This window comes from Homo sapiens, chromosome 3 (genome assembly GCF_000001405.40).
Source record: "Homo sapiens chromosome 3, GRCh38.p14 Primary Assembly".
In the NCBI taxonomy this organism is placed as follows: domain Eukaryota; kingdom Metazoa; phylum Chordata; class Mammalia; order Primates; family Hominidae; genus Homo; species Homo sapiens.
The window spans coordinates 129889836-129914022 of NC_000003.12; the positions used below are offsets into that span (position 1 = coordinate 129889836).

Here is a 24187-nt window from a genome sequence, read left to right on the forward strand (position 1 = left end):
GAAGGTCTAGAATTATCAGGAAAGATTTGGTCAAGGAGATAAAACTTGAATTTGTACCTTAAAATATACTTCAGAGTAGCAAAGTTAAAAAAAAAAAAAAAGAATAAACTAAGCTCACAACAACCAGAAGGGTGAAGAAATAAGAAAAAGCTAACAGAAATTAAAATGGCTGGGGCATGGTGGCTCATGCTTATAAACCCAGCACTTTTGGAGGCCAAGGCAAGGGGGATCACTTGAGGCCAGGAGTTTGCCTAGGCAACATATGAGACCCCATCTCTCTCCATAATATCTTTAAAAAAAAGAAAAATAAAAACATTCAGCTCTGAAAAGTGAAGACTTAAATAGGAGACATAATAGCAGTGCTCAAACACTTTAAGGGTCATGTGGCAGAACTAACAGAGTTACACCTATACCCATTTAACTTACAAGCCAACCTCTGGCAAAATGTGACCAATGCTCAAGGACAAAGAGAGTGACAGCTGTTCAGTGGAGCCACAACAGGAAATGCCAATATGGATAGACAGGAAGCAGGTGGCTAAGTTCTCTACAACTTTTCAAAGGACAGTATGTATGTGAGCCCAAAGAAGTAAAAATCAGATTCTAATTCTGCAAATGTTTACTGACTATCTTAAGTGCCGGGCTCTTTCAAATACATTATCTTGTTTAATATTCGCAACACATCTATGAGCATGTATTAATGTAATAGAGGCTTAACATAAAAATAGAATTAAACCCTGCATGGAAACAGGAACATGTCAAAATTCTATACCATCCCCCACTCTCTGATAGGGACTCCAGAGCAGTTTTAAAAAGCCAAACAGTCTGAAGGCCCAGATACCTATATAACAATTTATTTCCTCTTGCTCTTTCCCTCAGTCAAGCTCTGTGGCTCTCAGCCTTTCATATTCGTAAGAATTTTATACAACTATACATACAAAAACATGCAGACCATACTTTTTGAGCAATTTATGGAATTTTCCAGAAGAGTTTTCATCTTACATGATTTTTGCCTCATGCACTAACTTGAGGACCTAACCCTGGGATGAGGTGCAACTCCACTGCAGTCTTACTCCATGGGTACTGTAAGGCAGGATCAGGAAGAGGAAACGGAAAGGTACCATCCTATTACATGAAGAACAACATTCTAACAAAGACATAAAATGTATTTACATAAAATGTAAGAATGACATGTTATGTGGGGAAGTTCAACACTGGAAAACAAGAGCAGCTCATCTGCACCTGCAGACCTTTGCACTCACTGTTTCATTTACCAGGAAAGCGCTACCATTTTTCAGGTCACAACTCAAATACCTTCTCCTTAATGAGGCCTCCTCTCACTAAGTAACCCTCCACCCACCTTTCAGTCATTCACTTGTCACATCAGCTTGTTTTATTTTCTTCATAATTCATATTAGGGGTCAGCAAACATTTTCTATAAAAGGCCAGACTATAATCTATAGGCCAAATCCACCTTGCCCCGTTTTATATGGCTAAGAATGGTTTTACATTTTTAAATGGCTAGGGGAAAATATTTTTAAAAACTCATTAATATTCTGTGACATGTGAAAATTTTATGAAATTCAAATTTCAGTGTCCCAAGTTTAACTGGAATATAAACATATTTGTTCACGTACTGTCTGTGGCTGCTTTTGTACTAAAACAGAATTGAGTAGTTGCAAAAGAGATCATATGGCCCAAAAACCCTGGTATGTACTGTACTTCCTGGTCCTTTACCAAAAAAAGCTTACTAACCACTGATTTATATCATTATCTGAAATGATCCTATTTGCTTGTTTGTTGTATATTCCTCATTCCCATACATACAGAATAAAGCTTAATTAGGGAAGAGGCCTTGTCTGTTTTGTCCCAACAATGTAGCCCAGTACTTAGAAAACATCCTGGAACAAAGTAAGGGCTCAATAAACATTTGATGAATTAATGAATGATCCATAAATGCCACTCTGAGGAGCTTAAACCTAAGCCCTGAGCCATTATATGTTCTGCACATTTATGAGAGGCATAAGCAGTCTTGCAGAAAAGGGGAAATATTCTACTATCAAGAAGGCCCAGTTTAAAGTAATGGTGGTTGGTCACCAACTAGTCTAGGGCACTGGGGTTCTTCATCAAATTGTAGACTACAGGTCTTTTGTGCTCATAAAAGAGTCCTTCTGCAAGGTGTCCCAACACTGTCAGCGGTCTGTGCTTCTGTTTATCTTAAGATGCAAATGCTCTGAGAAATCTCATTCTTATACACAGTACACAGCACCTACACCATACCAAATCTTAATCAATGCTCATAATTATAACAGTTCTACATCACATGCTAATGAATTTTTAACGTCTAAAATTTTCCTATGCTGCTGATCAGCAATCTATAAGCAGCTCAAAACTCTTCAGAAATTAAAAGGTTACCACCCACAGACCAGAAGCAGCTTTTTAATCTTTCTACACTAGCCAGAGAGTGGGTGATTGCAAAAAAATACAAGCCAACTCTGTTGGTAGAGGACAGGGTTATTAAGTTAAAATCCCATCTATAAGCATCGTTTTGTCACATGACACTAGTAAAACTACCACCTACTCACAATTTGAGTTTCAATCTCCTAATATACAGAGAAAAAAATGTATCTACCTCCTGGAACAAATCAAAGTTTTGTTTTATTTTAAAGCAGCTATCTGATATTTATGCCCTGGATTTTTTTTTTTTAAGAACAGAATAAGCTAATTTAGGAATTCACACCTTTCGTAGAGATGCTTATGGTACAGGTACCTCTGACGGCTAGGCTCTACCAACACTAACGTGTAACGTGTCACAAAAGCCAACGGGCGTTGCGGGGGCCGGGGGTAGCCAACAGCTCAAGTGGGCTGCTTCACTCCGTGGCAGATTCACCTGGGGATTCCTCACCAAGAATGTTGTTAAGGGACGAACCAAACCAACCACAAATGATACCCCTTTACCGAGGCTGAAAAAGCAGAGATTCGCAAGCTATAAACGAATCTCTGGCCCTTTAGGGAAGGTGCAACTCGCTGCACCTCTTTCCCCTATCCTACAGGGGTTAACAGGGGGCATCCTGAGGCCGAGACCAAGCCCAGCCAGCTCCTCCTCACATCCCACCTCCCACTACATATTCTCCCCAGTACGCCGGGCTCCCTCCTCCCCTCGAAAGACAGTTCAAAATCAAAACAATAGGTGCAAAACTGGTTTCAGGTGGAAATGGCTGAGTCCTGGTGGCTAACTTCTGGGACGCCATGGCGATCGAGGGCTCCTAAAACCCCAGATTCCGACGGGAACCGGCTCCTAAACAGTCCCTCGGGCCTCGGCCCGACTTCTCACACGCCCCTCCCTCACCTCGGCCCTGGGATGCTGGGAAGGGAACGAGGCGAGGGGCTGGAGGGGAACCCCAGGTCAAAATGACAGCGGAATGAGCCGGGAAAGGAAAGAGGCCCCGTGGGATGCTGGGGGTCGAGTCCTAGGCCCGGGGCTTCAACCTCGAACGGGGGCGACGGCAGGTCCCAGCCCCGACAGGCCGCGAGCGGGAGGCCAGGCCCGCGTCCGCTGCGCCGCCAGGCCACGCTCCCTCACGACTGTCCCCACCCACCGCGGAGGGCCGTGAGGGGGCCGCGACCGCCGCCAGCGTCCGGGGCGGGGGCGCTCACTCACCGGCGGGGAGGGGAGGAGCAGCCGGCGTCTCCGCCAGCGCCGTCGCTCGAGCTCAAGCGCCTGCTCCTTCCACTGCGGCCGCCGCACCCGGTCCATCCCCCACAACCACCCCCCCCTCCCGACCCTCCCCCCGCGCCGCCTCAGCCGCCGCCGCCTCAGTCACCGCCACCGCCGCCGCCGCCTCAGCCCCGGCGCGGGAGGGCGAACCGGCGCGAGAGAGCGAGCGCGCGCGCGCCCCCGCCACAGCCGCCACCGCCCACAACCTCCGCCCCCGGCCGGCGGCGCACGCGCAAGGGAGCGGGCGGACGGGCGCGCGCACGCCGCAGGGGCGGGGATGGGCCCTGGAAGGCGTGGCCCCTCCCCTAGCCCGCCTTCCCACGCGGTCTCTGGGCTGGTTGAGCTGCGCCGCTGCAGGTAGTGCTGAGTTGCTCCAGGTAAGCTCCTCCTCTCAAAAAGCTCTAGGAACCGAGCCACCCTCGCCCTAGGAGCAACGCCCCTGAGTAATATGGGGTTTCGTCGGATTTCTGCCCGCCGCTCTGGATCACACGTTTGTTCTCCCTATTTGAGTCGCAAGGCCTTCCTTCATTCCACCTAGCAGGCTGCTTGGAAAAGGGCAGAGACTCATTACTTTGCACCAGGTATTACCACTGAAGGGATTGTAAGCAGCCACCAGCCCATCCCTTTATAATTCCCATTTTCCTAATTTATTTTATTTTTATTACTTATGTAATGAGGCTTCTTCCGTGTTCAAGGAGCTGGGAGTACCATATGGGGTCAACGGAGTCCCTGGTCTCATGAAGTTTGAGATCTGGTGGAGAAGGAAAACATTCATGGGAGAATCAGACAAAATTAAGTTTTCAATTAGTAAAAATCTTCTGAGAGGTATATGGTACTAAGAGAATCTTTATGGGGGAATTGATTTAGTTGAGGATGAAGAGGGTAGAATCTGAGGAATTGAGTTGGGAGGAGTTAGTTGCTCCAAGGGGTGAGGTCTTGGCATGGCCAGAATGGGGAGCGCTAAAGAATATTGAATGTGGAGTAGACTGCGAGTGTGGGAAGAGGTAGGCGAGAACAGGTGAGGATTGGGGACCTATTTATTTATTTATTTATTGAGACAGAGTCTCACTCTGTCACCCAGGTCACCCAGGCTGGAGTGCAATGGCTCGATCTCAGCTCACTGCAACCTCCGCCTCCTGGGTTCAAGCGATTCTCCTGTCTCAGCCTCCGGAGTAGCTGGACTACCAGCGCACGCCAGCGCACCTGGCTAATTTTTGTATTTTTAGTAGAGATGGGGTTTCGCCATCTTGGCCAGGCTGGTCTGGAACTCCTGACCTTGTGATCTGCCCGCCTCGGCCTCCCAAAGTGCTGGGATTGCAGGCATGAGCCACCACACCCGGCCGGATTTGGGACTTTAATCTGAGTGCTTGGTAGAAGCTATTCAGGTTTTTTTCAGCAGGGTTGCAGGGGAAATAACTTGATCATTATGTCTGTTTTTTGTTTTTGAGAGGCAGACTGGAGTGCAGTGGCGCGATCTCGGCTCCCTGCAATCTCTGCCTCCCGGGTTCAAGTGATTTTCCTGCCTCAGCCTCCCTAGTACCTGGGACTACAGGTGCACGCCACTGCACCCAGCTAATTTTTTTAGTATTTTTAGTAGAAACGGGGTTTCACCATGTTGGCCAGGATGGTCTGAATCTCCTGACTTCATGATCCACCCACCTCGGCCTCCCAAAGTGCTGGGATTACAGGTGTGAGCCACCTTGCCCCCAGCCCATTATGTCTGTTTTTAAGTTACTTAGATAGCAACGTGAAGAGTGGTCTGATGGGAGTCTCAAAGCTGGGGCCGGGAAGCCAGTTAGGAGGCCACTGGCCACATAGTCAAGGCAAAGTAGGAGGGTAGTGACAGAGAAGAGTGCTAATGTAGTGGTAAAATGGACAGGACTTGGCAATAAATTGAATGAGGAGTGAAGGAGAAGGAGGTGGCAAGGTTTACTTAGATTTGAGGTTGGTGGAGGATGCATTTATAGATTTCAGAAGCACTGAAGGAGCCACCTGAGGTAACTCAAAATGGATGATAAACCTAAATTTAAAAGCTAAACCTATAAAAGAAAATTTTAGAAGAAAACATAGAAAAAGTATTTGTGACCTTGGGATAGGCAAAGACTTCTTAGGACACAAAAAATATGAACCATAAAAAGTGATTCATGGCCTGGCTCACACCTGTAATCCCAGCACTTTGGGAGGCCAAGGCAGGCAGATCACTTGAGCTCAGGAGTTCAAGACCAGCCTGGGCAACATGGCAAAATGCTATCTCTACAAAAAATACAAAAGTTAGCTGGGCTTGTTGGCACGTACCTGCAGTCTCAGCTAACTTGTGGGGCTGAGGAAGGAGGATCACTTGAACCTGGGAGGCGGAGGTTGCAGTGAGCTGAGATGGCGCCACTGCACTCCAGCCTGAGTGACAGGGTGAGACCCTGTCTCAAAAAAAAAAAAAAAAAAAAGAAAGCAATTGATAAGTTGAACTCTATCAAAATTAAAAACTGGTACTCTTTGAGAGACAACATTAAGAAAATGAAAAGGCAAGCCACAGGTGGAGAGTTTGCAATAGAAAGCATTAGACAAAAGTCTTGTATCCAGAATACATAAAGAACTGTTATAAATGAGTAATAAGCCAGCCCAATAAACCAATGGGCAAAGGCTTTTTTTATATCTTGTAGATAGTTCACAAGATACAAAAATGGCCTATAAGCAATGAAGAGATTACCAACATCTTTAGTCAACTAGGGATTTTTCCATTTAAAACCACAACACTCTCATTAGGATAGCTAAAATTAAGACCGATGACCCAGCAATCACACTCCTACACATCTCCTTAACCATACTTGATCTCTAAAGGCTGACAATAACACACCAGGGACCCTGTAATCCCAGCACTTTGGGAGGCCAAGGCAAGAGGATCGCTTCAGCCCAGGAGTTCAAGACCAGCCTGGGCAACCTAATGAGACCCCATTTCTACAAAAAAAATTTTTTTTAATTAGCCAGTGTGGGAGTGTACACCTGTAGTCCTAGCTACTGGGGAGCCTGAGGCAGGAGGATCCCTTGAGCCCAGGAGTTCAAGGTTGCAGTGACCTATGATCGCACCACTGTACTCCGGCCTGGGTACCACAGCAAGACCATATCTCTTAAAAAAAAAAAGTCTTTGGCTGGGCGCAGTGGCTCACGCCTGTAATCCCAGCACTTTGGGAGGCCAATGTGGGCAGATCATGAGGTCAGGAGTTTGAGACCAGCTTGGCCAACATGGTGAAACCCCATCTCTACTAAAAATACAAAAATTAGCCGGATGTGGCAGCGTATGCCTCTAATCCCAGCTACTCAGGAGGCTGAGGCAGGAGAATCGCTTGAACTTGGGAGGCGGCGGTTGCAGTGAGCCAAGATCATGCCATTGCATTCAAGCCTGGGTGACAGAGTGAGACTATGTCTCAAAAAAAAAAAAAATTTAAAGACAATAACAAAGTCATACTTTCACTTAACATGATATAACTATCCTGCATACTATTGAAAACATAACAACACTTTTCCCAAGGGGATGCAAAGTCCTTGAGTGATGTTTCTTCTCCACCTTTGATGTCTTATAACTTAATACTGCAATATAAAGTTACCTATCATTAATACGTCTCCATCTTGTAGTAGCAACCGAATTTCCTGCTTAGTAATCAGGATTAGTCACCTCAGCCAGTAGAGGAACTTCCCACTTTACCTGTTGATTCAGAGGCATGAAAGACCCAAGGTGGCCAGGTGACCACCTCAACTCCCAATTCAATGGAAATGTTGTTGGGTCTCCTGGTGGAAGCATTCCTTCTTTTGGAACTAAGACCTCTTGGTCAGAAGAGCCTCTGGACGTTTCTACTTTCAGGAAAAATGAACAACCAAGTACACTCTTCAAAGTTCTGCCAACTGGGGGATTTTTTTTTCACCATTATTCTTCAGGGATGTCCCAGAAAGGGACACTAGTTTTATTTTCACTGGTGCCTGCATATTGTGCAGAACCATCATAAACCTGGGCTATGAACCACAACTGAGTTTTCCCTTCTTCAGTCAACTGGTCATAAGGAATGCCCCATGGCGCCATAGGTGCAGGCTGGGAGAGAGAAGGTAATGTAGCAGGAGTTGGGGCCATGGATATTTGGGCCACTTCCTCGTGCAACTTACCTATGCCTTCAGGGCCCATTTGAGCCCAATCTCATATATACCACTTCAATTTGATAATGGAGTGTTGCTGTGAGTGCACAACTTTATAGCTTGGTGGATCAGATAACACTTAGTTCATGATGAGCAGCTCAGGTCACATGGTAACTTGATGACCCACGGTTAACTGTTCAGTCTCTGCTTAGGCCCAGCAAGCCAAACGTTGTTTCTCAAGAGGACAGTACTCTTCTGCAGGGCTTTGCTCCAAAATCTTAAGGGTCTGCAGCGTGATTCACCTACAGTGGCCTGCCAAAGGCTCTAAACAGCATCTGTATCAGCCCCTTGCAGAATGAGACTCTGGGTTGGTTTTCAGAAATTGTGGCCCTAAGGGTTCCTTTCAGGACAGATATGGAAGCTTCCAGGTCATCTATGCATAGCTTAAAGCTTTAAACACTGAAAGGTGGGAATCTGAAACCCTGAGCTCATCCTTTTCTTTGCCTGCTTTCTTCAGTGCAGTTATGGCCAATGCCATTCTGTTCCTTGGTTTAACTAAAATATTCTAAGGTAACAAATACACAGTCACGCATAACCTTGCTTTCTATAGGTGTTTCATTAGGCGTATTCGATGCTTTATCATGCCATGGACTCCCAGTGCCCTCTTCACCACTGGAAATAGAGTCACTAGTGCCTTTAAATGTAATCATATAAGAATTCATGAAATTCAAGAAATTCAAGAAAACGCAGAACAAATTCAGAAAACTCATCCTCAAGATTCCATTCCTCTAGAGCCACTTTCAGTACCAAATCGGTATCAGTCAGGGTTCCAACAGAGAAGCAGAACCAGTAGGAGATACACAGTGAGATTTACTTCAAGGAATTGACTTATGTGGGGGGAGGGGGGCTGATTAGGCAAGTTGGAAATCTATAATGCAGGCAGGAGAATAGGCTGGAAATTTCAGGCAAGGGCTGAAGTCACAGTCCACAGGCAGAATTTCTTCTTCAGAATTTCTTCTTCTTCAACTCTGCTTTTAAAGACTTTCTACTGATTGAATCCAGACCAACCAGATTATCTAGGATAATCTTTCTTACTTAAAAACAATTTATGAATTTTAGTTATATCCACAAAAACACCTTCAGGCCCAGCATAGTGGCTCATGCCTGTAATCCCAACACTTTGAGAGGCTGAGGCAGGAGGTTCACTTGAGCCCAGGAGTTTGGGACAAGCCTGGGCAACATAGTGAGACCTCATCTCTACAAAAGTTTTTTTAAAAATTAGCAGGGCATGATGGTGTGCCTATAATCCCAGATACTCAGGAGGCTGAGGTGGGAGGATTGCTTGAGCCCACAAGGTCGAGGCTTCAGTGAGCCATGCTGGCACCACTGCATTCAGCCTGGGTAACAAAGTGAGACCCTGTTTCAAAACAAAAACTACCTTCATAGCAACTCTCAGATTTGTATTTGATTAAATAACTGGGGACTATAGTTCAGCCAAGTTGATGCCTAAAAAAGGCTATCACGTATTTACCCAAGAGAAACGAAAATATACATCTATACTAAGATTTGGGGGGTTTTAAAATAAAGTTAAAAAATTTTTTTGTAATTGAGAAAGGAGTCTTGCTATGTTGCCCAAGCAGGTCTTGAATTCCTGAGCTCAAGCTATCTGGCCACCTTTGCCTCCCTAAGTGCTGGGTTTACAGGTGTGAGCCACTGTGCCTGGGTACACCAAAATTTGTACAAGAATATTGGCAGTATCTATTCACAGGATCGCAAAACCTGAAATGTCTCAAATACACATCAACAGGTGAATAGATGAACAAAATACATTCAATTTACTCAGCAACAAAATATTCAATTAAATGAATATTACTTGGCAATGAAAAGAAATGAACTGTCAATCACTCAGTAGAGTGCATGAATCTCAAAATCATTATACTAGGTTGGTGCAAAAGTAATTTCGGTTTTTGCCATTACTCACTGCATTACTTTGGCAAAAACCAAAATTACTTTTGCACCAACCTAATAGCAGCAGAAGCCAAAAACAAAAGAATACATAATGTGCAATCCCATTTACATAACATTCTAGAAAAATGCTAGCTAATCTATAGTGACAGCAAACCAATGGTTGCCTGGGACCAGATGTGGAGGGAGAAATGTGAGAAAAAGGGGCACAAAGAAACTTCTGGGGATGATAACAGTGGTCTGCATGTTTTTTTATTGGTTTGTTTGCAACAGGGTCTCACTCTGTTGCTCAGGCTGGAGTGTGGTGGCACTATCACAGCTCACTGCAGCCTCAACCTCCCAGGTTCAAGCAATCCTCCCACCTCAGCCTCCTATGTAGCTAGAATTACAGGCATGCGCCACCACGTCCAACTAATTTTTAAATTTCTTGTGTTGGGTCTTGCCGTGTTGCCCAGGCTGGTCTTGAACTACTCCTGGGCTCAAGTGATCCTCCCTCCTCAGCCTTCCAAAGTGCTGGAATTACAGACATTAGGCACCACAAGAATGATCTGCATCTTGGTTATGGTTGTGGTTGTATGGGTGTATACATAACTTAAAACTCATCAAACTGTACATTTTAAATAGGTACAGTTGATTGTATGAATAGATATACAGCATACCCTACTAAAGTTGTTATTAAAAAAATCATTAGATGAGATTTAGAGCAGATTAGAAGCAGCAAAATAGTGGATTTATGAATGGGAAAACAGGCAGCAGTAAGTATTCAGATGAAAGTACAGAAAGAAAAGAAAGGAAAGAAAACTCAGAAAAGAGCATTAGAGAGAAAGGAGGCACAGTGATAGGTACTGCTGCAAAACTATAATGTGGGAGAAATGCTGCTGTGCTGTTGCTGAAAACATTATATAAGGCTGGGTGTGGTGGCTCATGCCTGTAATCCTAGCACTTTGGGAGGCTGAGGCAGGCAGATCACCTGAGGTCAGGAGTTCAAGACCAGACTGGCCAACCTGGCGAAACCCCGTCTCTACTAAAAGTACAAAAATTAGCTGGGTGTGGTGGTGCGCACCTATAATCCCACCTACTGGGGAGGCTGAGGCAGGAGAATCACTCGAACCCAGAGGGTGGAGATTGCAGTGAGCCAAGATCATGCCACTGCACTCCAGCCTGGGCGAAAGAGTGAAACTCTGTCTCAAAAAAAAAAAAAAAAAAAAAAATATATATATATATATATATATATATATATAAATAATTCTGGTTTTGGTGAGGCAATGTCTAGCATTCAGGCACTTAACCAATTAATATTAAGAGTATAGAAATCAGGGCCAGGTGCAGTGGCTCACGCCTGTAATCCCAGCACTTTGGGAGGCTGCGGTGGGTGGATCACGAGGTCAGAAGTTCAAGACAAGCCTGGCCAAGATGGTGAAACCCTGTCTCTACTAAAAACTACAAAAATTAGCTGGGCTCTGTGGTAGGCACCTGTGATCCCAGCTACCTGGGAGGCTGAGGCAGGAGAATCGCTTGAACCTGGGCAGCAGAGGTTGCAGTGAGCTGAGATCATGCCACTGCACTCCAGCCTGGGCAAAAGAGTGAGACTCTGTCTCAAAAAAAAAAAAAAAAAAAAAAAGGATAGTGTTGGGAACAGGCCCCCAAATCTGGCCATAAACAAAATTTCTGCAGCACTGTGACATGTTTGTGATGGCTATGACACCCACGCTGAAGGTTGTGGGTTTACCATAATGAGGGCAAGGAGCACCTGGCCCACCCAGGGCGGAAAACCGCTTAAAGGCATTCCTGAACCACAAACAATAGCATGAGCGATCTGTGTCTTAAGGACATGTTCCTGCTGCAGATAACTAGCCAGAGCCCATCCCTTTGTTTCAGCCCATCCCTTTGTTTCCCATAAGGAATACTTTCAGTTAATCTATAATCTATAGAAACAATGCTTATCACTGGCTTGCTGTCAATAAATATGTGGGTAAAACTGTTCAGGGCTTTCAGCTCTGAAGGCTGTCAGCTCCCTGATTTCCCACTCCACACTCTATATTTCTGTGTGTGTGTGTCTTTAATTCCTCTAGTGCCACTGGGTTAGGGTCTCCACAACCGAGCTGGTCTCAGCAAGTGGTGTCCATACATGGGGCTCGAACCTGGGTTGAAGGGTCGCCAGAGCGACGGTTGGAGAACGTGGAACTAAGCTGGAGGACACCTGAGTACTCTTAAGCAATCCCCGTGGTGAGTAAGAAGGGGAGCTCGGAAGCATCAGGGTATCAATGGGACAAGTGTGGGCTCTGGTTCATTCCACCTTGGAACCTTTTCACCCTAATGATGAGGAGGAAGGAAAGTATAATGAACTAACAGAAGACATGACAGAGCAGGTTTGTTTGCCAGCTAAAGCTAAAGCGGCAAAGGAGGAAGAGGTTCCTCCCTACCCTTCTGCACCCCCTCATTATTTTGAAGAAAAAGAGTAGCCTGACCCTCCAGATCTTTCTTTTCCAGAGGACACTGGGTGAAAAGTAGTTGCCCCAGTGACCGAGCAGTGCCTCGAGTGACCGCTCTCAGTTCTATTCAAGCAGGAATCCAGCAAGCTAGAAGAGAGGGTGATTTAGAGGTTTGGCAGTCCCTGTTGGAATACACCCCCCAGATCAACAGGGAAATATTATAGCTACATTTGAGCCTTTTCCTTTTAAATTACTCAAAGAATTTAAACAAGCTATTAATCAGTATGGACAAGGTTATCCTTTTGTAATGGGACTGTTAAAGAATGTTCCTGTCTCCAGTCAGATGTTGCCAGTGGGGCTTATAGGATTACTTCTAGGTAGATCTAGTTTAAATTTAAAAGGACTGCAAGTATATACAGGAGTCATTGATTCAGATTACAATGGGGAAATTCAAATTGTTTTATCTACTTCTGTTGCCTGGAAAGCAGAGCCAGGAGAGCGCATAGCACAGCTCCTGATTGTGCCATATGTGGAAATGGGGAAAAGTGAAATTAAACGAACAGGAGGATTTGGAAGCACAAATAAACAAGGTGAAGCAGCTTATTGGGTGAATCAAATTACTGATAAATGTCCTACCTGTGAAATAACTATTCAGGGAAAGAAATTTAAAGGTTTGGTAGATACAGGAGCAGACATTTCAGTTATTTCTCTACAGCACTGGTCATCCTCCTGGCCAATTCAACTCGCTCAATTTAACATAGTTGGAGTTGGTAAAGCCCCTGAAGTATATCAAAGTAGTTATATTTTGCACTGTGAAGGGCCCGATGGACAACCTGGGACTATTCAACCAATTGTAACTTCTGTACCTATAAATTTATGGAGGAGAGATTTATTACAACAATGGGGAGCACAAGTTCTAATTCCAGAACAATTATATAGCCCTCAAAGTCAACATATGATGCATGGAATGGGGTATGTCCCTGGTATGGGACTAGGAAAAAATTTGCAATGTTTGAAGGAACCACTTCAAGCAGGAAGACAAAGTTCCCACCAAGGTTTAGGGTATCATTTTTGATCGTGGCCATTGTTAAGCCTCCAGAACCTATACCTTTAAAATGGTTGACAGATAAGCCAATTTGGATAGAATAATGGCCACTAAATAAAGAGAAACTGGAGGCTTTAGAGGACTTAGTTACTGAATAATTAGAAAAAGAACACATAGCTCCAACATTTTCCCCTTGGAATTCTTCAGTCTTTATTATTAAGAAAAAATCAGGTAAATGGAGAATATTAACTGACTTAAGAGCCGTTAATTCCGTTATACAACCTACAGGGGCATTACAGCCAGGATTGTCTTTTCCTGCTATGATTCTGAAAAATCAGCCTTTAATAGCCATAGATTTAAAAGACTGTTTCTTTACTATCCCCTTAGCTGAGCAAGACTGTGAACAGTTTGCATTTACAATTCCTGCAGTAAACAACCTGCAGCCTGCTAAGCATTTGCATTGGAAAGTGTTGCCAGAAGGCATGTTAAATAGTCCAACAATTTGCCAGACTTATGTAGGGCAAGCAATTGAACCTACTTGTAAAAATTTTCACAGTGTTACATTATTCATTATGTGGACGATATACTTTGTGCTGCCGCCCCTCGAGAAATATTACTCCAATGTTATGATCACTTGCAAAACTCGATTTCTCGTGCCAGTTTAATTATAGCTACTTAAAAAATTCAGACTACTACTCCTTACTCCTACTTGGGGAACTTAGTAAATGACACTACCATTGTGCCACAGAAAGTAACCATATAGTAACCATATACGTCGGGATCAATTGAAAACATTAAATGACTTTAAAAAATTACTAGGGGACATTAATTGCATATGACCTGCTCTAGGCATTCCTACCTATGCCATGAGTAATCTATTTTCTATCCTTAGAGGAGATCCTAGTCTCACTAGCCCTTGGCAATTAACAAATGAGGCTGAGGCAGAGTTACAGCTGATTGAAAAGCAAGTCTGTAAAGCTCAAATGAATAGAATAGATCAAGAGAAGACTCTAGATTTGCTAATTTTTTCAACTCAGTATTCACCTACTGTGTTATTGTCCAAGAGCAGGACTTAGTAGAATGGCTTTTTCTTCCACATGCTAATTCACAGACTTTGACCCCTTATTTGGATCGAATTGCTACTATGATAGGAAATGGGAGAACTCGGATTGTTAAATTACATGGATATGATCCTGGAAAAATTATTGTTCCTCTTACAAAGGCACAAATACAGCAACTTTTATAAATAGTCTTACTTGGCAAACCCACGTAGCTGACTTTGTGGGTATTTTCAATAACCATTTTCCTAAAACAAAATTATTTCAATTTTTGAAATTAACTAATTGGATTCTCCCTAAAATAACTAAATTTAAACCAATTGAAAGTGCTGAAAATGTCTTCACAGATGGGTCTAGTAATGGTAAAGCTTCTTATTCTGGATCGAAAGGTAAAGTTTTCCAGACGCCCTATACTTCGGCTCAAAAAGCAGAGCTTGTAGCTATAATTGAGGTATTGACTGCTTTTGATATACCTATTAATGTGATTTCTGATTCTTCATATGTGGTTCATTCCACACAATTAATTGAAAATGCTCAGTTACGATTTCATACAGATGAACAACTGATGACTTTATTTACCCAACTGCAAACAGCAATTAGGAGTAGAATGCACCCTTTCTACATTACTCATATTCGGGCTCATACACCTCTTCCAGGACCTTTGACTCCAGGGAATCAAATGGCTGATCGCCTAGTTGCTACTGCAATATCTAATGCCAGACACTTTCACAATTTAACCCATGTTAATGCCTCTGGTCTCAAACGCAGATACAGCATTACCTGGACAGAAGCTAAAGCTATTATCCAGTGATGCCCAACTTGTCAAATGGTGCATTCCTCGTCTTTTACAGGGGGAGTTAATCCTCGAGGATTGGAACGTAATTCTCTTTGGCAAATGGATGTCACCCACGTTCCCTCGTTTGGGAGACTAGCTTATGTACATGTATGTGTGGACACCTTTTCTCACTTTGTCTGGGCTACATGCCAATCAGGAGAGTCTTCTGCCTGAGTTAAACATCACCTTTTGCAGTGTTTTGTGGTGATGGGCATTCCAGCTTCTATTAAAACAGATAACGTCCCAGGCTATACTAGCCAAGCTCTAGCTACATTTTTCTCTATATGGAATACTAAACACATTACTGGCATTCCGTATAATTCTCAAGGACAAGCCATAGTGGAAAGAATGAATCCCTCCCTGAAACAGCAGTTGCAAAAGCAAAAAGGGGGAAACAGGGACTATGGGATACCCCATATGCAATTGAATCTAGTATTATTGACTTTAAATTTTTTGAGACTGCCTAAAGGCCAGATGCTATCAGCAGCTGAATAGCATCTACAGAAACCAGCTGCAAAGACAGAAGCAGAACAACTGGTTTGGTGGAGAGAGCCAATGATAAAAAGTTGGGAAATGGGTAGAATAATAACTTGGGGTAGAGGTTATCCTTGTGTTTCTCCAGGACCAAATCAACTGCCAATTTGGATATCATCGAGGCACCTGAAACCTTATCATGAGCCTGATGCTGAGGAATAGATTCTGGGAGGATCCCGAGGATCCCCTGGTTGCAGCCATGTTGAGACTGACGCTGAGGGGGACCCCAACTGTCACGAGCAACACCCATCGAACGCAGCCACCTACCTGGGGACAGATCAAGAAGCTGTCACAGATGGCAGAAGAAAACCTAAGGAAAGTGGGACAACCAGTCACAATGAGTAATTTAATGATAGCTATGATAGTGGTGATCACCATTGCCATGAGTATTCCTTCAACAAGGGCTGGCACAGAGGACAATTATACTTATTGGGCGTATTTATCAATCTTGGCTGGCAATAATGCCTGGATGTAATCACTCTATGACACAGTTACACATGCTTTCTGGTCTCCGTATTTACCATAATAAATCTGCTCCTGTAATTGAGGTATACTGCCCTCAAAAACCTATTTGTAAACAGAATTGGACCTGGCTAGAAATAATGAATGTATTTGTTTGGGAAGATTGCATTGCAAAACAGGCAGAGGTGCTGTGCAACAATTCCCGTGGAATCATTATTGATTGGTCCCCTAAGGGGATGTTTAGCTTGAATTGCACCTGTCAGTCTGTGTGCCACAGCCACACTATGTTCAGCTGGTCTGAACAAAATGGTCAAATGGTAGAAATGGTAAGAAGTATGGCAAGAGTTCCTATTATTTGAAAACATGGTGGTATAGTGGCACCTCAACCTCAAATGATATGGCCCGCTCTAGGAGCTTAACATAAGGATTTGTGGAAACTATTAATGGCTCTTAATAAGATCAAAATTTGGGAGAGAGTAAAAAAGCATCTAGAAGGACACTCTACAAACTTGTCTTTGGATATTGCAAAATTAAAAGAACAAATATTTAAAGCATCCCAGGCACACCTGACCTTAATGCCAGAAATAGGAGTGCTTGAAGGAGTGTAGACAGATTAGCAGGTAGTAACCCATTAAAATAGATAAAAACACTTGGAAGCTCTGTGATTTCAATGATGATGGTGCTTTTAATCTGTGTTGTTTGTCTTTGTATAGTCTGCAGCTCCCGACTCCTGCAAGAAGTAGCTCACCATGATAAAGCCACCTTTGCATTTATCATCTTGCAAAAACAAAAAGGGGGAACATGTTGGGAACAGGCCCCCAAATCTGGCCATAAACTGGCCCCAAAACTGACCATAAACAAAATCTCTGCAGCACTGTGACATGTTCGTGATGGCTATGACACCCACCCTGAAGGTTGTGGGTTTACTGTAATGAGGGCAAGGAACACCTGGCCCACCCAGGGCAGAAAACTGCTTAAGGCGTTCCTAAGCCACAGACAATAGCATGAGTGATCTATGCATTAAGGACATGTTCCTGCTGCAGATAACTAGCCCAACCCATCCTTTTGTTTTGGCCCATCCCTTTGTTTCCTGTAAGGAATGCTTTTAGTTAATCTGTAATCTATAGAAACAATGGTTATCACTGGCTTGCTGTCAGTAAATATGTGGGTTAAACTCTGTTTGGGGCTCTCAGATCTGAAGGCTGTCAGCCCCCTGGATTTCCCACTCCACACTCTATAGTTCTGTGTGTGTGTGTGTGTGTGTGTGTGTGTGTGTGTTTCTTTAATTCCTCTAGTGCTGCTGGGTTAGGGTCTCCACGACTGAGCTAGTCTCAGCAGTATAAAAATCAGAATATTAATTTGGCAACATTTGGTAATATCAATGCAGAATATTTATCAGAAATCAAATGTTATCACCAAAAATCTACTCTACTTTGTTATCCAGGAGATGCAATACAAAACCCATTAATTAAAACATTAACAGATACTATTAAAATACTTTGGGATAAGGTCAGAAATGCTAAATGTTACTTATTATTTTAGACACATTACCTGATGCGAGGCATATAGTGCAGATGATTATGGTTAGAGTTGTGATTTTCTAAACTCAAATACTTCTATATGTGAACATTTTTGGGAGATTTTTGTCACAACTGGAGAAAGATTATTTTTAAATTTTAGTAAACTACTTACAAAAACTGAACCAGACAAAAATAATTCAAGAAGCTAGAAATATGACAACATGGTGCAATAGGAAATCCTTGAATAAAAAATATATATATGTATATATACACCATAAAATATAGAATGGTATATTCTGTATCATTCTATATTCCTTTTCTAAAGCATCATTATTATTATTTGAGATGAGGGGGAGATCTAACCATGTTGCCTGGGCTGGTCTTGAACCCCTGTCCTCAAGCAATCTTCCTTCCTCAGCCTCCTGAGTAGTTGGGATTACAGACACATACCACTATGCCCACCTTAAAGCTTGCTTGCTTGCTTGCTTGCTTTTTTTTTTTTTTTTTTTTGAGACAGGATCTTGCTCTGTTGCTCAGGTTGGAGTGAAGTGGCACGATCTCAGCTCACTGCAACACTCCAGCCTGAGCAACAGAGCAGACTCCATCTTGGGGAAAGAAAGAAAAAAAAAAAGAACTATACATCTACCAAAAGCTTCAGTTAAATGTTTGGGTATATTGAAAACACACTGGATATAAATTTGAAACCACTGTTAAACGTGTGACAGGAAAATCGAGTTGAGACTGCCATGCCCGTGTCAACTGACCATGGGTTCTTGGGCTCTCAATGCAATAGAACATTGACATGAGGCCAAAAGAGTTTTCTCAAAGCTTCACTGGAGCTTTTGTCCAGCCATAAGGGAGGCAGAACGAGAGAGAAAGAGAGATAGAGAGAGACAGAGAGAGAGAGAGAGAGAGTATTCCCTGACAGACTCCACCTATAAAAGAACAGGTAGGACTTTTTTATTAGGCAAAGTACAGAACTGACATCAGAAGTAGAGTGTACACAGGCTGGGCAAGGCAAACAATGTGAGGGGTAGGGTAGCAGGTCAGCATATCCAGTTGTGATGGTTATCTTGAGTAATGGGCCACCTGGTAGTCTGGCCTGTGACAACAAGACTATAAATCAATTGTCCAGCAGCATTCCTTTCTGAGGTGGGACACTCTGCAACCTTGGTTAGCTCCTAAAGCCAGTTCCTGGAATTCTTTAAGTAAAAAGACTATTAGCAGCGAGGTAATGGTGTGGGTTTTGTGATGTGTGGGAATGCTCTAATGGGGGTGAACCAAAGCCAGGCTCTGTCTCTACTGTGTCTCACCAGTAAAAACACAATTACAAACAGCATGCAATGCTCTTTTTTGTGATGATGGTTAATAAAGAATACACATTCTAAAATACCAGCAAAAGTTCTACTTTCAAACATATGTCTAAATTTATTAGCTAAGTACTGACCTGGTATGATGCTTTAAGTAAAACTGATGGTTTAAACAAAATGACAGAGAAAAATCAAAATGCAATGTCAAAAAATTTTAATGTACATAATGCTCTCAAAAACCTCAGAGGGATTAAGAAATTCATTTTTTACCTTTCTTAAAAAATATATATTTTTGGGGACAAGATCTCAAGCTCTTGGCCTCAAGCAATCCTCCTGCCTTGTCCTCCTAAAAGTGCTGGGACTACAGGCATGAGCCATTGCGCCTGGCCTAAGAAATTCTTCAAAGGAAAGCTAAGTGATAATGCTTACAAAAAGATAGATTACTGAGTTTAAAATAAATTGCAGAGTCTCTTGACATTCCTTTCAATTTCTCCTGCATAGAGAATATTAGAAAAAGGGGATTTCAATTGCAAATCCCTCAGCCCATCTATGTTCCAAAACTAAATTTTAAAATCAATTTCTTTTTTATTCTACATTGGAAACTGCAATGTCATTGTTTTTTCTTTTTCTTTTTTTTTTTTGGATGGAGTCTCTCTCTGTCACCCAGGCTGGAGTACAGTGGTGTGATCTCGGCTCACTGCAACCTCCACCTCCCAGATTCAAGCAATTCTCCTGCCTCAGCCTCCCGAGTCGCTGGGACTGCAGGGGCCCACCACCACGCCCAGCTAATTTTTGTGCTTTTAGTAGAGATGGGGTTTCACCATGTTAGCCAGGATGGTCTCAAACTCCCGACCTCAGGTGATCCGCCTGCCTTGGCCTCACAAAGTGCTGGGATTACAGGCGTGAGCCACCGCGCCTGGCCAGAAAGTGCAATATCACCCTAAAAATAAAAGTTTACAATACTGAAAGAAAATAATGCCCTTTTCAGTCTTCTAATCAAGATCCTTACTATTTAAAATGTGCTCCTGGAACAGCAGCATCAGCATCACCTGGGAGCTCTTTAGGTGTGCAGAATCTCAGCCCCACTCCAGATCAGCTCAGTCAGAGTCTTCATTTTGACATGACCCCCAGGCAATTCATTTGCATATCACAGTTTGAAAATCACTGGACTAGATGACATATGTAACTTGAAGAATTACAGGAAATATGAACTTCAACAGCTATTAAAAATTTATAACTGAAATTGACTAATTTCAGTTAATGATGATATTGATGGGAAATGAACAGAGAGAAACTAAAAACGTTGTTTGTTAAGATCTGGAGTAACTTCTGCTGAAGTATTGCAATGTCTTTGCAGCAATAATTGTATATTTATTTATTTATTTATTTATTTATTTATTTTTTTGAGACAGAGTCTCTCTCTGTCACCCAGGCTGGAGTGCAGTGGCGCCATCTCGGCTCACTGCAACCTGCACCTCCTGGGTTCACACCATTCTCCTGCCTCAGCCTCCTGAGTAGCTGGGACTACAGGCGCCCGCCACCACGCCCGGCTAAATTTTTTTTTTTTTTGTATTTTTAGTAGAGACGGAGTTTCACCACGTTAGACAGGATGGTCTCAATCTCCTGACCTCGTGATCCGCCCATCTCGGCCTCCCAAAGTGCTGGGATTACATGCGTGAGCCACCGCGCCCACCCTATTTATTTATTTTCATAGAGACAGAGTCTTACTATGTTGCCCAGGCTGGTCTCAAACTCCTGGACTCAAGCAATCCTCCTGCCTCAACCTTCCAAAATGCTGGGATTATAGGTGTGAGCCACTGCAGCAGGCCTGCAGCAATAATTTATCACATTTCCAAATACTTTGTGTCTCTCAGTGTGTATTTCACTTTGCTAATATGGGTAACCAGGAAAGAATGTAGCTTCACCAAATAAAAGTTAGTAGAAACGAATTAAGGTCTAGAGTGACCAAAAAAGACTGTTACATCTAGTAATCATCATATGTGGGAGCAAGGAAGCATTGAAACTGCCATAAAGAATTTTATTTCCATGAAAGTAAGACAAACAACTGTTGTATAGAAAACTATCATATACTAGTGACTTTGAATTTCTCGGCTGGGCCCAGTGGCTCATGCCTGTAATCCCAGCACTTTGGGAGGCCGGGATGGGCATATCACTTGAGGTCAGGAGTTCAAGACCAGCCTGACCGACATGGTAAAACCCTGCCTCTACTAAAAATAGAAAAATTAGCCAGGTGTGGTGGTTTGCACCTGTAATCCCAGCTACTTGGGATGCTGAGGCACGAGAATCGCTTGAACCTGGGAGGCGGAGGTTGCAGTGAGCAGAGATCATGCCACTGCACTCCAGCCTGGGCCACAAACTCCATCTCAAAAAAAAAAAAAAAAAAAAATTTCGACACTTCATCTTAGCCAAAAGGCCAAGAAGTGATATGACTTAAAATTTCTAATGATTGTGCTAGTTTTTCTTACTTCAGGGCCTTTGCTTATGCTATTCCCTGTTCCTGATACTCCTTCCTCTCCAACAGAGTTGGCTTAAATGGTTCAGGTCTCAGCTTGAATGTCATTTCCTCAGGGTGGCCTTCCCTGACCCCACAAAGTCAGCTGCTCTTATGACATTCTCTCAAAACACTCTGAATTTCCTCTTAGCTCAACATACCCATAACTTCCCCTTACATTTCTGCCTTCCTCTCTGGACTGTAAGCTCCACCAGTGCAGGGACTTTGTCTCTGTCATTCTGAACCCACTGACCTCCATGTATCTTTAGGAGCTCAATAAATATTAATTAAATTAATAAATATTAAATTAAATATTAATTAAATCAATAAATATTGATAAATATTAATTAAATATTTATTTAATTAATATTTATTAAGATTTACAAATGAGTGAATGGTGGTCCTAGTCATATTAAATGAAGTATAATCCTGACTTATATTTGTATAACTCTTTTCTCTTTTTAGTACATTTTTACTTCTGTTTTCCCATTTGACCCTCCAAAAACTCAGCTCTACCTGGAGAGTCTCTCTCAGTCCTTAAAGTGCATATGAGATCCCCTAGCTGTTAGGTGTGAGCATGGACTGGAGGTGGATGGCCTGCCTTCCCATCCTAATTATGCCACTTCAGATCTGTGTCTTGGGCAAATTCCCTCACCTCTTTGTGCCCCAGTGTCTTCGTTTGTGCTTACCTCATAGGTGTACTATGAGGAGCAAATGAATATATAATGTAAAGATCTTGAACAGTGCCAGATACCTAACAAATGCTAGCTATCATTCCAGGAGCAGCATGAAGATGAAGAGTATAGGGGCCAGTATTACAGATTAGGCATCCCCAATATTGTGCTGAGTAGAAGAAGCTGGACACAAAACAGCACACACTGTGCATTTCCATTACATGAAGTTCAAGGATAGGCAAAACTAGCCTATGATGACAGAGGTAGGCTAGAACAGTAGTGGGCGGGGGCAAGCACACTGACTGGGAAGTACACAGTAGTCTTCTTGGGTGCTGGAAATGTTTTGTGTCTTGATCTGGGTGGTGGTTACACAGGTAAGTATGTCTACAGAAATTTTTTTTTTTTTTTTTGAGATGGAGTCTCGCTCTGTTGCACAGGCTGGAGTACAATGGCACCATCTCAGCTCACTGCAACCTCCGCCTCCAAGATTCAAGCAATTCTCGTGCCTTAGCCTCCCAAGGAGCTGGGATTACAGGCATATGCCACCATACCTGGCTAATTCTAATTTTTGTATTTTCAGTAGATACAGGGTTTCGCCATGTTGGCCAGGCTGGTCTCGAACTCGTGACCTCAGGTAATCTGCCCACCTCAGCCTCCCAAAGTGCTGGGAGTACAAGCGTGAGCCACCGCACCCAGCCAGAAATGTATTCTTAAGATTTGTGGCTGGGCACGGTGGCTCACGCTTGTACTCCCAGCACTTTGGGAGCCCGAGGTGGGTGGATCACATGAGTTCAGGAGTTCGAGACCACTCAGTGAGCCAGTCAGCTCCAGGGGAACAGAACTCCGACATCCTCCCTGCCGGGGCCTCACGGTCAGGATTGCTAGTGATTGGGATCTCAGGCTTATTGATCTAGTTTGTCTTCAAGTGATAGAAATCCAAAGCAAATAGGCATATGCAAAATCAGAGCCATTTATTGGGAGAATGCTGGTGTGCTTATGGAACATAGCCTTGGGAAGTGCAGGGAGGGCCTCAGAGACAAGTGGGCCCTTGGACACTTTCTCCCCTCTCTGCTTTTCCTAGTTTTATCAGATCAGCTTTCTCCCCATAATGGGGGATGTGGCTGCCATTAGTTCCTGAGCCTCATGCTAGAAAACCTGTATCCTGCGTCAGTCCAGTCCAGCAAATCTGAGGGAAAGGCTCTGATTGGCCCATTTTGAGTACAATGCCCATCCCTAGACCGATCAACTGTGGCCATGAGCGTATGACCAATAACACCCACTGAAATTACATAGTGATTAGAAAGCAGAAAGGAACAGGTCCCCAAAAGAAGGTGTTGTTCCCAGAAGAAAAGGGGGTGCTGGGCAGGGAAGACAATATCACAGATGTCACAGTGGTGGGACAGAGAGGGATACAACTAAGTCCATGAAGGCTGGCCTGTGTCTCTTCTAATTAAACATAACTTTCTCAGTCCCTGTTGTCCAGTAATCCAGAGACAAGGTCAGCAGGATCCTACCTTTGAGATCCAACTAACTCAGCAAGTGGTGGGAGGGGCACCAGAGAAACATCAGGTCCTGTCTCAAGCCAGGACCTTCAGCCCTGTCAACAGGACAGTCCAAGAGAGTGGTGGAAGCTCACCAGGCTGGGCCCCCACAAACCAGTCCTGATGCCACAACTAACAGGCTGGGCCTCAGTGTCCTCCTCTGTAAAATGAGAGCTGTTGAGCTACCTGATTAGAGAGATAACATTGAGTTCCTGAATGCCAAACAGCTTGGATTTAAATCTCAGCTCTAGGCCTGGCATGGTGCCTCACACTTGTAATCCTAGCACTTTGGGAGGACGAGGCGGGTGGATGGCTTGAGCCCAAAAGTTTGAGAGCAGCCTAGGCAACATGGCAAAATCCCACCTCTACAAAAAATACCAAAAAATTAGCCAGTCATGGTGACGTGCACCTGTAGTCTCAGCTACTCAGCAGGCTGAGATGGGAGGACCATTTGAGCCCAGGAGG

The 24187-nt window shown here is 43.5% G+C and overlaps 1 protein-coding gene and 1 long non-coding RNA gene across 13 annotated transcripts in view, besides 6 other annotated features; one reads left to right on the forward strand and one right to left on the reverse strand.

The window, feature by feature from the left end:
- Positions 1 to 3876, reverse strand: part of TMCC1 (transmembrane and coiled-coil domain family 1) — a 245920-nt gene extending 242044 nt beyond the window's left edge. For 11 of the 12 annotated variants that reach the window (NM_001128224.3, NM_001349268.2, NM_001349270.2 and 8 more), the window contains exon 1: positions 3659 to 3876. The gene's annotated coding sequence lies outside the window, so the exon portion shown is untranslated. Of the gene's footprint in view, positions 1 to 3346 lie in introns of all 12 variants that reach the window. The other variant, NM_001349276.2, reaches the window with a different exon arrangement.
- Positions 2458 to 3250: an enhancer, noted in NCBI's record as "H3K27ac hESC enhancer chr3:129611136-129611928 (GRCh37/hg19 assembly coordinates)". NCBI's record gives its function as "activates a minimal SCP1, AML or CMV promoter by ChIP-STARR-seq in naive H9 embryonic stem cells {active_cell/tissue: H9 hESC(naive)}" and the evidence as "EXISTENCE:reporter gene assay evidence [ECO:0000049][PMID:30033119]".
- Positions 3251 to 4042: an enhancer, noted in NCBI's record as "H3K27ac hESC enhancer chr3:129611929-129612720 (GRCh37/hg19 assembly coordinates)". NCBI's record gives its function as "activates a minimal SCP1, AML or CMV promoter by ChIP-STARR-seq in naive H9 embryonic stem cells {active_cell/tissue: H9 hESC(naive)}" and the evidence as "EXISTENCE:reporter gene assay evidence [ECO:0000049][PMID:30033119]".
- Positions 3251 to 4133: a biological region, named in NCBI's record as "H3K27ac hESC enhancer GRCh37_chr3:129611929-129612720".
- Positions 3404 to 4133: a silencer, noted in NCBI's record as "silent region_14729". NCBI's record gives its function as "represses an Ori minimal core promoter by ATAC-STARR-seq in GM12878 lymphoblastoid cells {active_cell/tissue: GM12878}" and the evidence as "EXISTENCE:reporter gene assay evidence [ECO:0000049][PMID:35858748]".
- On the forward strand, positions 4036 to 19077 carry TMCC1-DT (TMCC1 divergent transcript). Its single transcript, NR_037893.1, has 3 exons — positions 4036 to 4092; positions 11872 to 12025; positions 15792 to 19077. It is a non-coding gene; the product is annotated as a TMCC1 divergent transcript (long non-coding RNA).
- Positions 16748 to 16948: a silencer, noted in NCBI's record as "peak4828 fragment used in MPRA reporter construct". NCBI's record gives its function as "represses an SCP1 promoter by STARR-seq MPRAs in K562 erythroleukemia cells {active_cell/tissue: K562}" and the evidence as "EXISTENCE:reporter gene assay evidence [ECO:0000049][PMID:32103011]".
- Positions 17058 to 17258: a silencer, noted in NCBI's record as "peak4829 fragment used in MPRA reporter construct". NCBI's record gives its function as "represses an SCP1 promoter by STARR-seq MPRAs in K562 erythroleukemia cells {active_cell/tissue: K562}" and the evidence as "EXISTENCE:reporter gene assay evidence [ECO:0000049][PMID:32103011]".
- Positions 19078 to 24187: the final 5110 nt, after the last annotated feature.